We start from the raw sequence: 16359 nt of genomic DNA on the forward strand, positions 1-16359 counted from the left end.
TGCCTGAAGGCTAGCAGGCAAAGGATGTGAGGGGTAAACCTAAAACAGGGAAGGAACAGATCTCAAGGGGCCTGAGTCAAACACAACATGTGGCTCACGTAGGTGGTTTTACCAGCATCACATCAATTGTTTCATGTCACGAGGCAGTGGAGAACCACTTGACACTTTGGAGTAGGAGGTGTCAGAACCAATCTTATCTGGGCTTTAGATCCACGAGCAAATAGATTGGGTGGCCAGGGAATGGAGCTGTGGTCATAGCTATGGTGGCAGTGGCTGTGCTGGAAAAGAACGGACCAGTGGGAAAGGTACTACAGAAGAACCACACAACCTGGTGACTGACAGAGTGGGAGAGACAGGGAAGAGGAAAGCGTCGATGGATAAGGCTCTAACCTGGGAGGCAGGGAGCCAGTGGTGCCATGAACAGAGCACTGTGGGAAGAACTGGTCTGGAGGGTGCCCTAATATGGAGTTCTCCGTGCAAATTCTGCTTTCCCTTTGAGGGCCAGTGCAAGCATAACTGCCTTGTGACCACAAAGCCTCACAAAACGCCTTGGCAGACAGGCCTCAGTACTCTCCTCACTCCTACCTCATCTCCTCAGTCCTGGGGCTGCCCTCACCCCCCACAAACCCCAACTGCCTACAACACACTGCTCTGGTCACCATCTTTCTATGGCTGGCCACCCATCTCCCAGGACACAGCTAACAATCCTCCATGTGCCAGCTCAACCCACCTTTTTTGTTCATCTCACACAATGACCACAGACCACTGACCTTTCCCTGCTGACTGGGCATTGGGTCCCTGCCTTCCTCTCCAGACCCACTGGTCCCAGGTGCTTCTTTGGGCTCTCACATCTGCATAGAATGCCTTCCCCATCCCTGGATAACCTCTGGATCCTTGCAAGTCGGCCTGCCCCACCTGTCGGGCCAGATGACTAACGCCTCGGCCCCCACAACTCTGTACTAAAATGGCTCATCTGTCTTTCTCCCTTGACGTGTGTATTTGTTAGGGCAAGGATATAACTTGTTGACCATTGGCCCCAAACACACGGCACCATCCTGGAAACACTGTAGGTTCTCAAACACTTAAGAAAGTAAAGAGCAGACATTCTCCAAACCCTAATTCCTCACTGCTCTTCTGCCTATTCCTCTAGGGCCTGGCTAAGCTCACAGCCTCTCTGCCTCTCCCTGCCTTCCCCATCCTGACTTGTCTGAAGGCGTGAGCTTGCATCATTGCTGGTGTCCACCAGCCTTAGCCCTGGCTGAATGGGGTGAGCAGAGGTGCTCAAATAGGCCTGTCCAGGGTCCGGGGGCAAAGAAGGTAGCCTGGTTCTACTTCCCCTGGTGGACTGCAGCAGGGGAGGTAACAGGCGAGGGAATTATGCTACAGGGTGAGAGCCCAGCCTCCTGAGGCTTTTTGTGCCACGTTGGCGGGCCAACCACTGAAACCTTCATGCCGCTAAGCTAGAGCCAGTGCCTTGCTGCATTCTCTCTGGTCCTTTCTCTGAAAGTCCCCAGGGATGGAAGAACAAACGATAGCACAGAGAGCCACAAGAAAACAGAGCCACACACTGGGCCTTGTCCATAATTATTACTATAATGATTTACAAAAGTTTTTTTCAGGCAACCGTGTTAAATTATTGTACATATCTGAGAGAGGGAGGTGGGGCCCTGGCCACAGCAAAAGTGACGACCTCTTTCTTGGGTGAGGTAAGAAAATGTCCCCCACCCCCTTTTAGGTCTGACTCCTTATTAAGTGGCTTCCCCTCAATAAATGATGAGCATCAACCCTTTCCCACCCAGGGTGCCGAGGGTAGAGGGAGGAGCAAGTGGATGAAGTGCTCTGAAAAGGATAGTGCAGCGGCTCTAGCCACCGTGCATCCTCTGCCCTGGCTCTGAAGGGCCTGACCCTGGGCTGCACCCCCTTGCTGGGGATGGAAGACCATTCAGTACTCAGCCCTACACCAGGGCATCTACCCAGGAAGATAGGAGGACAGAGTGTGAAAGGGGCTGTGTCACCCTGTCAGGTCACGAACAGGAGGTGGCAATGGATGCAGTGACACACCAGTGGGAGCTGCTGGCTGCCCCTTGCAGCCCACTCCCCAAACTGGCTACCCAGGCATCCAGGCATTCTGGCCCTGGAGCTCAGGGAGGCAGCCCTGAGAGTCGGAGCAGGGAACCACAGGCCTAGCTGGCCCTGCCAGGGGGATACCCACAACAGCCTGACATGGCGCTCAATTCCCACACGCCAGCTCAAGGCTCCTGTCCATGCAGCTCAATGTTACTTGTGTGTGCATGTCCTGTGTAGAGGGGAAGGCTGCAGGGGGGCACTGCTGTGCCACCCACCCAGGGGTTCAGGGCATGCAGGGGACCCTAAGCCTAGTATACGAGCCAAGACCAAAAAGGGTTAAAGGCTCTGTCTCCCCTCCCTCCCCCTCTCCCAACATGCCCCGCCCTCCTTGGGCACTAGAAAGTTTTGCGATGAATAGCACGGGAGCCATCCTCTTCATACTCCTTTTTGGACACCCACATCTTCTTAAAAGTGTCCAGCGAGGCCAGGATGGAGCCGCTGTGGGGATGGAGGGATAGTATTGCTGTGGACCTGTCAGGGAGCCAACCACCTTCCTGGGTGCTCAGAGTTGCATTTCCCTAATTTGGGAGGGAAATCCACCCACCTCCACGTGGCCTAGGCCAACAATGGGAGGAGCATCCAGGGTAAAGTGGTCTCCTCCCAGAGCCCTCCCTTGAGCCCCGCCTCACCCAATCCATGTGGAGTACAGCCGTTCCTGCGGGGCTGAGATCTAGAAGGAGGAAGTGGCCACGTTAACTGTGGATCCCCACCCAGAAGCCATCCTCCCAGCCTTGGGGTCACCTTCCCCAGGTCCTGAAGCCTGACAGCAAAGGCATAAGCTGGGGAGTGGCAGCAGCAGCCTTGGGAAGAACAGGACTAGGTGGACGTGAGCTGGTGAGCGGGTCTGGGGGCAGCATTCAACCTTCCTCCCCATGCCAAGGCTGCCAGCGCCCTAGTGCCCCAGGGGGAGTTTCTGTAACCTCACCTTGATTTTGATATCCTTTGGGGCAAGCTTCTTCACTTCACTGAGTAATCGGTCTCCGAAGCCTGTGAACACAAAGCTGGCTGAGCCTGGGGTCTGCACCCGGCCTCCTCGCTGCTAGCTCCCGCACCCAGCCTTCAGGGCCCCCAGCTACTGCTGGTCCTCTATCAGCAGCTCTTCCCAGGATGAAGGGCAAGGCTGAGAAATGATCCAGCCCCATGGCTGCCTGCGGGCCCTGCGTCCTCACAGAGGCAGCGTGAGATGAAGCCGCACATGCTCCTTGCTCGACTCTCACAATACACTTTAGAGCTTGTGTAAACTTCTCCTCTATTCACAGAGTAAACAAAATTTAATTTTAAATTTTGGTCTGTTAAAAAAAATGTTCATTGAGCACCACCAAAAAGCCAACAGAATATGGCTCTGGGTAGGGGTATACTCTCTGAGGGTCCAGCTGCCCTGGGCCTCGTCTCACCACCACCAACTCTCAAGCCACAGTACCTTTGAAAAGCGTTGAGCCACCTGAGAGCACGATGTTGGCGAACAGCGTCCGGCGCAGGTCCATGTCGGACTTGTGTATGGCGAAGGCCACCACCTCATGGAGCCCCTCACTCTCATCCCCGACAAGGTCCGGCTGGAACAGCAGCTCGGGGGCCCGGAATCGTGCAGGCCCCACCTTTAGTGTACAAGATTGAGGCAGACAGGCTTCCTGGAGAAGCGGGCTACCCCTTCCCCCAGGCTGGGCATCGGCTGCCACTCCAGTGCCAGGCCCGGCCACTTACATCAAGCGTGCTGCCGTCTGGCAACGTGTACTGCACCTTCTCCGTCTCCAGAGCCTCATCCTTCTGTGGGTTGATGGACAGGTAGCACGCTCGCTGCGGGGACAGGGACACAGCCCTCAGAAGGCTGCACCTGGGACACCTGTGCCTTGGTGCCACCCTTTCCTCACCCCAGGTCGTGTCCACACCCTCTCGCCCCTTGTCACCTCTTTGATTGTCCGGACAACCTCAAACTCAGCCGAGGTATGGAAGTCAACCCCTTCCTTGCGCAGCAGGAGTCGGAGGTAGCGGGAGACGTCGCGGCCGGCAATGTCCACCCGCATGATGGAGTGAGGCATGGCAAAGCCCTCATAGATGGGCACAGCATGAGTGACCCCGTCCCCTGAGTCTAGAACCACTCCTGTCGTGCGTCCTGTTGCGTACCTGTCACCAGGTCAGCATCCCCTCACCTCAGCCACTGAGGCACGGGGACCTCCTCACCCAGGGGAGGAACCCTGGCACATCTGCATTATCTAGTCTGAAGAGAGGACACGAGGGACTCCCTAGAGGAACAGTCATCAAGGGGCTGTTTTTCCAGGGAAGTCAGACCCTGGTCATGGCAAGCAGGACGGCACAGGGAGGACAGGACTCAGGGAGGCCAGGCTTAGGGAGCACTCACAGACTGAGCACAGCCTGCATGGAGATGAACAGGGCCGGCACGTTGAAGGTCTCAAAGAACACCTCTGCCGCCTTCTCCCGGTTCTTACTCGGGTTGAGCGGGGCCTCCGTGAGGAGCACAGGATGCTGCGAGGGACGGGACAGTTGTAGGCATCAGAGGAGGCAACTTGCAAGGCCCTAAAAGGCTCTTTCCAGAGAACCACACCCGCTGGCGCACAGGCAGCTCAGCCTCCTACCCCTCCTGAGGGCCCCATCCCTTTATCTGCTGGCAGTTACTCTTCCGGAGATCCGGCTCTCTTTGGAAGATTCTGCCTAGCAGCCACTGGGTACGTATGCGCACCCAGACACACACGGAAAGGCAGCAGGCCCTCTAGAAATGTAGAAGGGAAATGTGGGAGCCCGGCGAGGAGGGACGCAGAGGAGAGGGGCATGGCCAGGAGAATGCAGAGCATGCAGGAGGGGCAGCCGCCACACCTCCTCCGAGAAGGTCTGCAGCTGATCCTTGGAGTAGACGTACTGCCAGATGCGTTCCATGTCGTTCCAGTCTCGCACCACGCCGTGCTCCATGGGGTAGCGGATGGTCAGCAGCCCCCGGTGCTCCTGGTGGGGTGGGAAGGGAGGTGTGGCACCCGGCCCTTGCTCAGCGGCTGCTTTCCGCCCTCCTGGAAGCTGACCCTCACCTGCCCTGACCAGAACCTCACCTGCCCTGACCAGAACCACCCCTGCTCACTGGGTGTCCCAGGGTCTGTGGCGGGTCCTGAACTCAGCATGGGCTCACCTGCCCACCAGCTTCTTAGGCTCTTAGAGCCCAGCTAGCTTCAGCTGGGGGGATCAGAGAGGGTGGCAGTGTGCCCCGCAATCTGCAGGCTCTCTTCTTCCCCATTCTCACTGCCGGCACATCCCCCACATTCTCCTCACACTCTGCCAGCTCCCCTCTGGCCAGCGCCGGCACCTTGCAGCCGCCCAACACGGCCCCTCCTGGGCCACCTGTGCCCCCTGACCTACGCCTCTCCCCCCAGCCCTTTGGCCGGTCCTCACCAGTCCCCTGTTTGCACTGACATGCTGCCTCCACCTGCCCTTCGATGTCCCCCCAGCCATGCCCCTTCTCACCTAGCACCACTTAGCTCCTCTCACCACCTCGGCTCCTACGGACCCCATCTGCGAGACCCCCACCCTCTGCACCTCCAGCTCAGGCCTCCCCTTTCTGGGCCCAGAACCACGCATGCCCCACGCCCCGGCACCCGACACAATGCTCCTCAGGCGCCTAAACTGCCCTTGGCCAAGCTCAGCTTGCTGCTCTCCCCACACCCACACATGCTCTCCTGAGGGTCTGATCAGGCCATGCAGCCCCTTGGTGGGACACTCCGGCTTCACTGTGAGAGGCGGCCCCATGGCCCTCATTAGAGCAGACGTGAAGTGTGTGTGATTCTGACTCTTATATCACTTTTTGATCAGTTCTTGGTTCTGTAGCTTCCAAATAGCTTCTAAAAGACAGGACACGATGAGCTCTACCCATGCTCCCTAGAAGAGGAACTGCTGCCCCATCTCAGGGGGAGGTGCCCCTGCACAGCACTTCCCAGCTGGAGCCTGGAGGAGGTACCCGGGAGGTCACCAGCAGAGGCCCAAGAACACATGCCATGTTCCTGCAACTGAGGACCCCACCCCCAGGGAAAGGCAGGCTCCTCGGTGTTACCTCTGCTTTTGGTCCGATGAAGAGGTCCCCCTCCAGGGCTCCAGCCATCACCCGCATGTGCTTCGGCCGCCCGACACTGTTAGGACGGATAACGTCAGCAAGGTGGGCAGGGAGCATGGCAGAGCTTGTGTCCAGAAAAACCGAAATCCAACCATAGTCGCCCAGAGGGTACCTGGCCTCCAAACACCAGGATGTGGCTGGGGGGCACAGGTTGGAACTGGGGCCTATGGGGTTCGGGGCTAGAGAGGGGGCCTAGGCAGGACGAGAAGCTCAGGGTCAGAAGGCACGGTCAGCAGAGACAGCTGCATGTCTGAGCGCCAGAACCCAGCCCTCCATGGCCCAGCCCTTGCAGAGGGTCGGCTTCCTGCAGCCACAGTGACTCAGCCCACGCTCCTGACTTCGGTGGGGCAGGGCTGCCGTCACCATCCACAGACTGAGGGAGGACAACCCCAGGAAGCTGGGTCGGGGCTCCCTTGTGCACCCTGCTCTCACTCAGTCAAGCGCCCTACCCCACTGCCAGCGCTTCTGGATCAGAGATTCAGTTCTTGGAAACTATAGGATCTGATGAGCTACCACTAAAGGCAAAGGAACCTCTAATTATACCCATGCAGTCAGAAAGGAATGCTGAAGCTCGACAGGGCGCACCATGCTAGCTCTGTCCCAGACCAGGCCGGGCTCGGGCTAGCCTGCCACTCGGGGCCTAGGATCCCCTGCTGCCCGCTGCCTTTAGGCCACTCATTCCAAAGCCTCCAGGATTTGTGAAGAGGTGCCCCTAAGGGCAACTTTCCCAATGGGCTCGTGGTGGGTGCAAGGGGCACCCCAGGCTCTCTGGGTTTGCAATTCTTATTCCCGCCCCCACCAGTACCATACAGGGCAAAGGATCCCCTCTTAACTGAAACAAGACATTTTCTAGAGTCTGAAAACAAGCCCGGCAGAAAACACTTCCAGGGAGGAAAGGGTGGCTGTGCATCTAATTCCTCACTCTTCCTGCTCCGAGTTTAGGGCTCCCCTCGGAGATGTCTCCCTTTATTCTTGCTGCTGCTACCACACCCCATCCCCAGGGAAATGCTGGTTGCTTTTCCTCCTTGCTGGCTCAACAAGACCAAAACGAGAGACTCCCAAGACAAAGGGGAACCCTAGAACGCTTGTCTTGTTCTTTCAGTGCTCTCTCAAGAGTGTCAACCTCACAAATTTGGTGTTTTCCATACAGGTCAGGGCACAAATTGTCTTCAAAGAGCCCTGTGACAGAAGGCCAATGTTCTTACAGAAGGTAAACAAAAGGACTAAGGCTGCTGCCTGAGCCACACTTACTAGTTTGGGAAACAGTATTTGGGAATCTGGTCTCCTGCAAAGCCAGCTTTAATCACCCCCGAACCCTGCAAGGAAAAACAAAGTTGAGCTGCCCACATGCACCACCAGATGAAGCCAGTCCCCCGCAATGGAGAGAGCTGGCTGCCCCGTCAAGGCAGGCCAAGGAGGAAGCCAGGGACCCTGCCAGGATCATTTACAAGTACACCTATGGTTCAAGATTGGGGGCAATTTTGTATCCCCCTGCTCTGGCAACATTTGGCAATGTCTGGCAGCTGGGGAGAGGGGACATGCAGTGGGGGATGCTATTGGCATCTAGTGGGCAGAGGCCAAGGATGCTGCTCAACATCCTACGATGCACAGGCGAGCCTGCACTACCAACAAGGAGCTAGCCCAGAATGTCAATAATATAGAGATAGAGAAACCACGAAGGGCACCTTCCTCTGCACAACTAATGGTTGGCTCCAGCAGGATTCCATAGCACATGCTACTCCCAAAAGCTAGAAGAAACCCCTCTGTGTGGGTCTTTTTTTTTTTTTTTCAACAGCTTCCTTCTCCCCCAAGAACCCAGAAGGCATGGAACATGGACGACCTACAGGGCCTGCTGGAGAAGACCAATGGGTGCATGGGATGACCGGCAGCTTCCCTCAAGTGGCTTCCCAGAGACTACTAGGAGAACTTGGTCCTATCGCTGCCCCCACCTGGAAGCTGGACTTAAGGATCCCCCAAAGAACGGGGCAATTAGAAACCTCCCACCCAGCGAAGGGATAAGCTTCTCAACTCAGTCCCACCACTCTTCATCGCAACCCTCTGAGTCTGCAGCAGAAACAAACATCTCCAAGTTACAGAGGAGGGGATGGAATCCCCAAGGGGCCGAGCGGTAGCCCTTTTAACTTATAAGCCTGTTGATTAGCCTATACGAGTTATTTGCACGTCAAGAAAGGAAGTAGCCTGCTCCTTCCTGCAGCGTCCTGCTGGTGTGACAGCACGTCCCCAAGCTCAGTGCTAACCTCCTTATTAAACATCCCCTGCTGTGACTCAGGGAACCCACATGGGTACTCTAAAACAGTCATTCAGGGACCCCACGGGGTCATGTGGGAGGGAGACAGATCCCAGAAAGAGCACAAGTGAGTCATTACCAAAAACTCCAAGGCCCGCACACCGGACGCACATACCCAGCTAGGGGCAGACTCAAAGATCCCAGCCCTTATCTTCTCCCCATATCAGAGCTCGGAAGCCAGAAATCTTCCTAAGGCAGGTGAAAGCAAGCCGAGCCCCACTGCTGAAGGACAAAGCCACAGGAAGCCTGATGACATCTTTCCTCTGAGGCTTCCAAACGATCACCCCAAATTGCTTGCTGATACTGGGAAGAGTGGCCATGAACTCTCCATTGCTCTGCTGGCTGTGGAATGTTTGCTCAGCACAGGAAGCATTTAAGGAGAAAGTCAAAGTAGCCAAAAGGCAAACCAGATGGTGGTGGACATGTGGGTGACAGAGCATCCTGCATTTGTTGCCTCGGGGTGCAGCCCCAAAGATAAAGCCAGCAGTGTGCAAATGACAAATGCTACCCCACCTCCGCCAGGCAGCCAGAGCCAGGGCCGAAGGACGCGGAAAGGAACTGGTGTGGAAACCTGCCCAGGAACCGCACTCTCAACTGAGAAGAGTCCGGGGCGCGTCCCCGCCCGGCCGCCCGGCTGTCACTCAAGCTCTCCTGAACTTCCCCGCCCGACTCGGGGAGGGGTCGGGGAAGAGGCTCTGCGACGCGGGCGAGGGGGCTCGCCCCATGGCCGGCCTTACAAGGCCAAGAGGGCGCGCGCCCCCGGGGCGAAGCCAGCGGCCCGGCGGGGGCGACGGCCACGCAGTGAGCGGAGGACGCGCCGAGGCGGGCGGGGGTCTCTCCCTGCGCCGCCGCGTGCGCCCCCGGGGGCGGGGCGCCCGCCCTCCCCCTGGCTGCCGGGCCTCACGTTGTCGATGACCACAGGCTGGTTGGCGATGATGTCGTAGGACTCCATGGCCGGGCCGCGCCGGCCCTGCCCAGCAGGCGGGCTGCAGGAGGCACCGGATGGGCGGGCGGGCGGGAGGACCGGGACGGCGGCGGCTCCCGACGCGGCGCCGCTGCCCTCCCTCCCCGAGCCTGCAGCCTACGCGAGCCCCGCGGGGCTTTCTGGAGGGCGGGCCCGGCGGCCAATCATCGCTCCCACCTGGCCCGATTGACAGCAGGTGCCCGGGGCTGGCTGCGCGAAGGGGGCGGGGCCTCCGGAGGCTGGCCAGCCAATTGAGGTCGTCCGGAAAAAAGTGGTCGCGGCGTTGCCAAGGTAGGCTGCGCAGTGTCTGGGATGATGTCATGGCTCCGTCTTAAAGGGGACGCGGGCGGCAGAAAGTGGAGCTGGGCTGGTGTGCGCGCGGCCGGAGTCTGTGGAGCTGGAAATTCACCGGTCCAGGAAGACGTCTTTCCCGCGTCCCAGCACCGGTCCAGAAAGACGTCTTTCCCGCGTCCCAGCACCTCGGGCCACGCTCCTTCGTGAGAGCGCCCTCTCCAAGGAGGCCGGCCCTGGATATTTCACCCAAAATATTTATTTTTTCTTTTTTTCTAGGTAAGGTGTCTTGCTCTGTCGCTCAGGCTGGAAATCTTGGGCTCAAGCGATCCTCCCGCGCCAGCCAGTAGGGGGGACTACAGGCGCGCACCATATTTATTTATTTTTACTGAAATAGTCTCCGTAGAGACTGTTAAAAATTGCCGATGTCGACTATATTGCAAGTCGTCACGGTGGGGTATTGCGAAAAGTTTTCAATTAGCAATAATCGCGCTTCGGATAAACCTCATTGGCCACCATACGGCCACCGCGCAACGCTAGCTAATTAAAAAAAATTTTTTTTGTAGAGAAGGGATCTCGCTATGTTCCCCGGGCTAGCCTCGAACTCCTGAGCTTAAGCGATCCTCCCGCTTAGTCTTTCCAAAGCGTTGGGATTACAGGCGTCAGCTATTGCGCACGGCCCCATAATATTTCCTCGTTGAGCACTGAAGAAAAGATCCTTTTCCTTATAAAAATTACAGTTTCGTGGTATTTTGGTCCTGGCATTTATTGAGCACCTGCTCTGTGCCTGCGGAGCACTTCTGCCCACTTTACATAAGTTATATTAAATCCTTGCAACAATATCAGGTAGTTGTATTATTACTCCCATTTTTCAGTCAGGGTCTTCACACTTTGGTAACCTGCCCAAGATTATTGGGTGTGGAATTGGCATGCAGGTAGCCCCCTGCGGCACTGGAGTCAGCTGCTTCAAGAGTGCAGGATAGTTGAGTTCTACATTTGTTTACCAAACGGATCCATAGTTATTTCCCTGTATATATACCTCTCCCAATGGGTTGTGAGCATAAAATTTGTAAAATTGAAGCGGGTGTGCAGAAATCACAAGTGTACATGTACATTTCAATGAATGATTAAAATGTGGACACACTTGCATAACCACCGAGTTCAAGAAACAATATTGTTGCTGGAAAAGGGGTCCCGATCCAGACCCCAAGGGAGGGTTATTGGATCTTGCCCAGAAGAAATTCAAGGCAAGTTGCAGAGTGCAGTGAGAAGCGATTGTTTATTGAAAGCTACTCAGTTACAGAGTAGGCCATCCTCAGAAAGCAAGAGGGGGAACACACCCTCTTTATATTAAACTCTTCTTATAGAGGGGTCTTATCTATGTAAAAACTAAGCTATGTCTACATGAGGGTGGGCTGACAGCATAACAAAATTTAGTGCTTTTTGATTTAAAGAAAGTTATCCTTGGCATTTTAATGCATAAATACATCAAAGCATGACTCTCTCTCTCTCTCTCTCTCTCTCTCTCTCTCTCTCTCTCTCTCTATATATATATATATATATATATATATATATATATATTTTGTTTTGTTTTGTTTTTTTGAGACAGGGTCTCACCTTGTTGCCCAAGCTGGAGTGCAGTTGCCTGATATCAGCTCACTGCAACCTCCACCTCCCAGGCTCAAGCTATCCTCCTGCCTCAGCCTTCCAAGTAGCTGGGACCACAGGTGTGCACCATCACGCCCAGGTAATTTTTTTGTATTTTTAGTAGAGACCGGGTTTTGCTATGTTGCCCAGGCTGGTCTCGAACTCCTGAGCTCAAGCAGTCCACCCACTTTGGACTCCCAAAGTGCTGGGATTACAGGTGTGAGCCATCGAGTCCTGTAACTATAACTATCTTAAATCATATATTGTTAGGCAATATTGGAGCATCTGGACATTTTGTTGTTGTAGGATTTTGTCCTTGCAGGCATTACTAAACTGCTCTTTTAGCCATAGCATCTTATGACCATGGGTTGGGACTAGCAAGGAATGTGCCTTGCTAGTTTTAAGATGGAGTTGGGGCCGGGCGCGGTGGCTTATGCCTGTAATCCCAGCACTTTGGAAGGCCGAGGCGGGCAGATCACGAGGTCAGGAGATTGAGACCATCCTGGCTAACACGGTGAAACCCTGTCTTTACTAAAAATACAAAAAAGTAGCTGGGCGTGGTGGCATGCGTCTGTTGTCCCAGCTACTCAGGAGGCTGGGGTAGGAGAATCGCTTGAACCCAGGAGGCGGAGGTTGCAGTGAGCCGAGATCGCGCCACCAGCCTGGGCGACAGAGTGAGACTCCGTCTCAAAAAAAAAAAAAAAAAAAAAGATGGGGTTGAGATGGGCACGGTAGCTCATGCGTGTAATCCCAGTACTTGTGGAGGCTGAAGTGGGTGGATTGCTTGAGCCCAGGAATTTGAGACCAGCCTGGACAACATGGCAAAACCCTGTCTCTACAAAAAATACAAAAATTAGCCGGGCATGATGTTGTGCGCCTGTAGTGCCAGCTACTCCAGAGGCTGAGGTGGGAGGTTGGCTTGAGCCCGGGAGATGGAGGTTGCGGTGAGCCCAGATCGCACCATTGCACTCCAGCCTGGGTGACAGAGCCAGACTCTGTCTCAAAAAAAAAAAAAAAAAAAAAAGCAGTTGATTTTAAAATGGTGTCACCCTGTCTCTCCTAGGCTCCTGTTTTCCTAATAGCATGAACAGCCCCCCCGTCAGCTCCTACCCCTTGGTCTCTGACCTGTTCCTCCTCCGAGGTGACCTCTATCCTGAATTTTGAAAACATATTAGTATTGCCTGTTTCTGGACTTTGTGCAGATGAAGTCATTGGTATGTATTCATTTGCATCTAGTGTTTATACATTCATAAAATAGATCACTGTGTAGCCATTAAAAATAATGAGAGAGTGCTATATAATTTCATATGAAACATATCAGGACACATTGCTAAGTAAAAGCAAAGAGAAAGCAGACACCGAGTGTAGACTGTTATATGCATGAATGTCTCTGAACAGTATATGAGGCACCTTCAGGTCTCTTTTTTATTTTTTTTTTTTTTGAGACAATCTTTCTCTGTTGCCCAGGCTGGAGTGCAGTGGCGCAATCTGGGCTCACTGCAACCTCCACCTGTCGGGTTCAGGCAATTCTCCTGGCTCAGCCTCCCTAGTAGCTGGGATCACAGGTTCCCGCCACCATGCCCAGCTAAGTTTTTTTTTTTTTTTTTTTTGAGATGGAGTCTCACTCTGTCACCCAGGCTGGAGTGCAGTGGTGCGGTCTCGGCTCACTGCAAGCTCCGCCTCCCGGGTTCATGCCATTCTCCTGCCTCAGCCTCCCGAGTAGCTGGGACTACAGGCGCCCACCACCACGCCTGGCTAATTTTTTGTATTTTTAGTAGAGATGGGGTTTCACCGTGTTAGCCAGGATGATCTCGATCTCCTGACCTTGTGATCTGCCTGCCTCGGCCTCCCAAAATGCTGGGATTACAGGTGTGAGCCACCGTGCCTGGCCCCAAAGATGATTGTCTTATAAAAGCCTATGTAACCCTTTTCATTTTTTCTTTAAAAAATGTCTTCCTTTACCTCCTGGAACACATCCATACTTATTCCCATTGTAATGCCCGTTCCTGAATAAACATCATTGTTTTTTTAGAGAGGGAGAGAGAGTCCATTGGTGAGAGAGTCTCACCAATCTCCTGTCCCCAGGGCACTTCCACCCCTGGGTATTTGTACTGATCAACCAGGTTACGCTTTCAGCATTTGCAAACTCAGGATGGAGATTTTAGACCCTCTTCAACCTCCAGGTTTCCTCTTTGCAAAGGCCAGCAGCAGAAGCAAAAGAGATGGAGCCCGGGTTAGCATTTATTTTTCTATTTACCAGTCATTTGGAATTTGGACATTTTCTGTCCTGTGGTTGTGGTGAGGGTGTGGGTTTTGTGTTGTTTTATATATTCTTTGTTATTTTTTATTCTAGTTTTTGTTTTTGTTTTGGAAGGTATTTTAGAGAAATAAGATTTCTGTGGTTACCATGACCTGCTGTTACAGATTACATGGTACCCTCTCTTCATATGTTGAAGTCCTAGCCACCCCGCCGAACCTCAGAATGTGACTGTATTTGGAGATAGGGTCTTTACAGAGGAAATCAAGTTAAAATGAAGTCATTAGGGCAGGCCCTAATCCGATATGATCCTGTGTTCTTAGAAGAGGAAATGTGGACTCAGGTGTGTATGGAGGGAAGATGTCTTGCAAGCCCAAGGAGAAGATGGCCATCTGAGCCCACGTCCTGGAACAGAGACTTCCCTCACAGCCTCAGAAAGAACCAGCCCTGCTGACGTCTTGATCTCAGACCTCCAGCCTCCAGAACTGGGAGACGATTCAGTCAGCATCTACACAACACAGGGTTGAACTGTGCGGGTCCACTTCTATGCAGATTATTTTCTTTTTTCTTTTTTGAGACAGAGTCTCGCCCGGTTGCTCAGGCTGAAGTGTAGTGGTGTGATCTTGGCTTACTGCAGCTTCCACCTCCCAGGTGCAAGTGATTCTCCTGCCTCAGCTTCCCAAGTAGCTGGGACTATGGGTACTCGCCACCACACCTGGCTAATTTTTGTATTTTTAGTAGAGATGGGGTTTCACCATGTTGGTCAGGCTGGTCTTGAACTCCTGACCCCAAGTGATCTGCCTGCCTTGGCCTCCCAGATTGCTGGGATTACAGGTGTGAGCCACCGTGCCCGGCCCTATATAACTCTTTGTGCAAGTTTTTACCCCTAAAAGATATCTGCCATCTCAGCCATGGAACAGACACTGTAAGAACATGAAGGCTCAAGGGCAGGGCTGGCTACATAATTTGTGGGACCCATTACAAAATGAACATGGAGAAAAAACTAGAAAAAAGTGTAGTACAAGGTACTATAATAGATTTTTCCTTTGAAAACAGTTTAATACTTATAAAATGTAATAGAGGGAAATAGTGACACGTGAGTAACAAAATGGGCGTATCAATTGGTCTATGCTATTTTTGGTGTTATAATTTTACCTAATATAATAAGCAGCAACACTTTGTTAGTGAGACGGGCTTTCACCATGTTGGCCAGGCTGGTCTGGAACTCCTGACCTCAGGTGATCCGCCTGCCTCAGCCTTCCAAAGTGCTGGGATTACAGGTGTGAGCCTCTGCGCCCGGCTGTGATGTCTTGATTGATCATAGGATTTTTCTGGCTATTCTAGCTACTTCCAATTCGCTTCAGCCAATTTAGTTGAAGTTTTATCACTTGTGACTTCAGAGTCCTGGTTAATATCCTGTTGCCCTCAGGACATGCAGGATGGAGGAAGGCACCAGGGAGCCGAGGGAAGTGAGCAGAGAGGCAGTCACTTCAGGGCCACCAGCATAGCCCCCGTCACTGTCCACAGACACAGGCCCTTCCCCTTCTCATGGTTGAGCAGGCTCCACCTCACTTCCGTGTATGACTTCATAGACCGTTAGGTTCCGTGGTACCCTGGAGTCCACAGCTGCTGAATCTGAAGGGCCATCAGAAGACTGGCTTCTCCATGATGGTTTATGGACTAAGGCAAAGATGAGCAGAGCCATGGCCCTCTTCTTTGTTCTCTGCTGGATCCAAGGTATATTGCTGTGGCAGCTGGAGAGAAACATGGGCCTCACTTCAAGCCTAAGTGGGGCAGAGGAGGGCGTTCCCTCCCACAGTGTGGGGAACACAGATGCTTTACCTACTCTACCTTCTATACCTCCCCAAATCTGCCATTCAGGGTTTATTACTTGGGGGAAGGGAGTAACTGAAAACATTTTCCTAACTTTGAAGCTTTCTCAAAATTCAGAGCTCTATAGGAGGGTGGCATACATGCGTATTTTAACTTTTCACTGTAAGCATTTCCAAACATATGCAAAAGTAGAAAGATTAGTATAAAGAACCACCATATGCTAACTAACCCTCCTGATTTTATCTATATATATGCACTATTTAAAAAATAACAGGGTTAGGCCGGGTACAGTGGCTCACTCTTGTAACTCCAGCACTTTAGGAGGCCAAGGCAGGAGGATTCCTTGAGCTCAGGAGTTTGTGACAGGCCTAGGCAACATCATGAGAGCCTGTCTGTATAAAAAATTTTAAAATTAGCCATGCATGGTGATGCGTGCGTGTGGTCCCAGCTACTAGGGAGGCTGAGGTGGGATGATCACTTGAGCCCAAAAAGTCGAGGCTGCAGTAAGCCGTGATCACACCACTGCACTCAAGCTTGGGCAACAGAGTGGGATCCTGTCTCAAAAAAAAAAAATTAGTAATAACTTTATAGGATATAATATATAATAAAATTCACCCTTTATTTTATTTTTCTATTTATTGTTATTATTTTTGAGATAGGTTCTCCCTCTGTCACCCAGAGCTGGAGTGCGGTGGCATAATCACAGCTAATTGCAGCCTCAACATTCCAGGCCCAAGGATCCTCCCTTCAGCCTTCCAGGTAGCTGGGACCACAGGCATGTACCACCACACCCAGCTAATTTTTTAAATTTCTGTAGAAATAGG

General features: G+C 53.2%; 2 protein-coding genes, 1 non-coding gene and 1 pseudogene across 14 annotated transcripts in view, besides 6 other annotated features; 1 reads left to right on the forward strand and 3 right to left on the reverse strand.

Annotated features, from left to right (window-relative positions):
- Positions 1–1543: 1543 nt before the first annotated feature.
- ACTR1B (actin related protein 1B) lies at positions 1544–9649 on the reverse strand. 3 transcript variants are annotated; one of them, NM_005735.4, is made up of 11 exons: positions 9448–9649; positions 7487–7551; positions 6176–6251; positions 4957–5082; positions 4484–4608; positions 4032–4248; positions 3829–3921; positions 3548–3722; positions 3053–3114; positions 2757–2797; positions 1544–2565 (listed from the first exon to the last, which is right to left on the reverse strand). In NM_005735.4, the coding sequence occupies exons 1-11, from the start codon at positions 9493–9495 to the stop codon at positions 2463–2465; spliced, it is 1131 nt and encodes a 376-aa protein (NP_005726.1). In that variant the 5' UTR covers positions 9496–9649; the 3' UTR covers positions 1544–2462. The 3 variants fall into 3 exon arrangements, with proteins under 3 accessions (NP_005726.1, XP_016858605.1, XP_005263911.1); XM_017003116.2 differs by lacking the exon at positions 9448–9649 and adding an exon at positions 9057–9394; XM_005263854.6 differs by lacking the exon at positions 6176–6251.
- Positions 8111–8752: an enhancer, noted in NCBI's record as "H3K27ac hESC enhancer chr2:98278969-98279610 (GRCh37/hg19 assembly coordinates)". NCBI's record gives its function as "activates a minimal SCP1, AML or CMV promoter by ChIP-STARR-seq in primed H9 embryonic stem cells {active_cell/tissue: H9 hESC(primed)}" and the evidence as "EXISTENCE:reporter gene assay evidence [ECO:0000049][PMID:30033119]".
- Positions 8111–8787: a biological region, named in NCBI's record as "H3K27ac hESC enhancer GRCh37_chr2:98278969-98279610".
- Positions 8718–8787: an enhancer, noted in NCBI's record as "active region_16240". NCBI's record gives its function as "activates an Ori minimal core promoter by ATAC-STARR-seq in GM12878 lymphoblastoid cells {active_cell/tissue: GM12878}" and the evidence as "EXISTENCE:reporter gene assay evidence [ECO:0000049][PMID:35858748]".
- Positions 9148–9207: a silencer, noted in NCBI's record as "silent region_11792". NCBI's record gives its function as "represses an Ori minimal core promoter by ATAC-STARR-seq in GM12878 lymphoblastoid cells {active_cell/tissue: GM12878}" and the evidence as "EXISTENCE:reporter gene assay evidence [ECO:0000049][PMID:35858748]".
- Positions 9288–9747: a silencer, noted in NCBI's record as "silent region_11793". NCBI's record gives its function as "represses an Ori minimal core promoter by ATAC-STARR-seq in GM12878 lymphoblastoid cells {active_cell/tissue: GM12878}" and the evidence as "EXISTENCE:reporter gene assay evidence [ECO:0000049][PMID:35858748]".
- The window catches only part of C2orf92 (chromosome 2 open reading frame 92), a 39126-nt gene continuing 32312 nt past the window's right edge, over positions 9546–16359 (forward strand). For 5 of the 10 annotated variants that reach the window (NR_038386.2, NM_001351368.2, XM_024453111.2 and 2 more), the window contains exon 1: positions 15318–15439. Coding sequence is in view for 9 of the 10 variants with exons in the window: in NM_001351368.2 (NP_001338297.1) it covers positions 15394–15439 (46 nt within the window). In the remaining variant the exon portion in view is untranslated. Of the gene's footprint in view, positions 9799–9865; positions 10078–12508; positions 15440–16359 lie in introns of those variants that run through there. The other 5 variants (XM_024453105.2, XM_024453109.2, XM_024453106.2 and 2 more) reach the window with 2 other exon arrangements.
- Positions 9828–10167: an enhancer, noted in NCBI's record as "active region_16241". NCBI's record gives its function as "activates an Ori minimal core promoter by ATAC-STARR-seq in GM12878 lymphoblastoid cells {active_cell/tissue: GM12878}" and the evidence as "EXISTENCE:reporter gene assay evidence [ECO:0000049][PMID:35858748]".
- Positions 9897–10575, reverse strand: RNU4-8P (RNA, U4 small nuclear 8, pseudogene; annotated as a pseudogene).
- On the reverse strand, positions 10196–10336 carry LOC124900516 (U4 spliceosomal RNA). Its single transcript, XR_007088703.1, has one exon. It is a non-coding gene; the product is annotated as a U4 spliceosomal RNA (small nuclear RNA).

The sequence above is a fragment of the Homo sapiens genome, chromosome 2 (assembly GCF_000001405.40).
Source record: "Homo sapiens chromosome 2, GRCh38.p14 Primary Assembly".
NCBI lineage: Eukaryota > Metazoa > Chordata > Mammalia > Primates > Hominidae > Homo > Homo sapiens.

Bases quoted from the DNA above. Each gene is read 5' to 3' on its own strand.
- ACTR1B (NM_005735.4), bottom strand. From the start codon at position 9,495: ATGGAGTCCTACGACATCATCGCCAACCAGCCTGTGGTCATCGACAAC. The intron at 7,552-9,447 runs GTGAGGCCCGGC...TTTTCCTTGCAG, and splicing joins AGCCTGTGGTCATCGACAAC to GGTTCGGGGGTGATTAAAGC. The intron at 2,566-2,756 runs GTGAGGCGGGGC...CCATCCCCACAG, and splicing joins CTGTACTCCACATGGATTGG to CGGCTCCATCCTGGCCTCGC.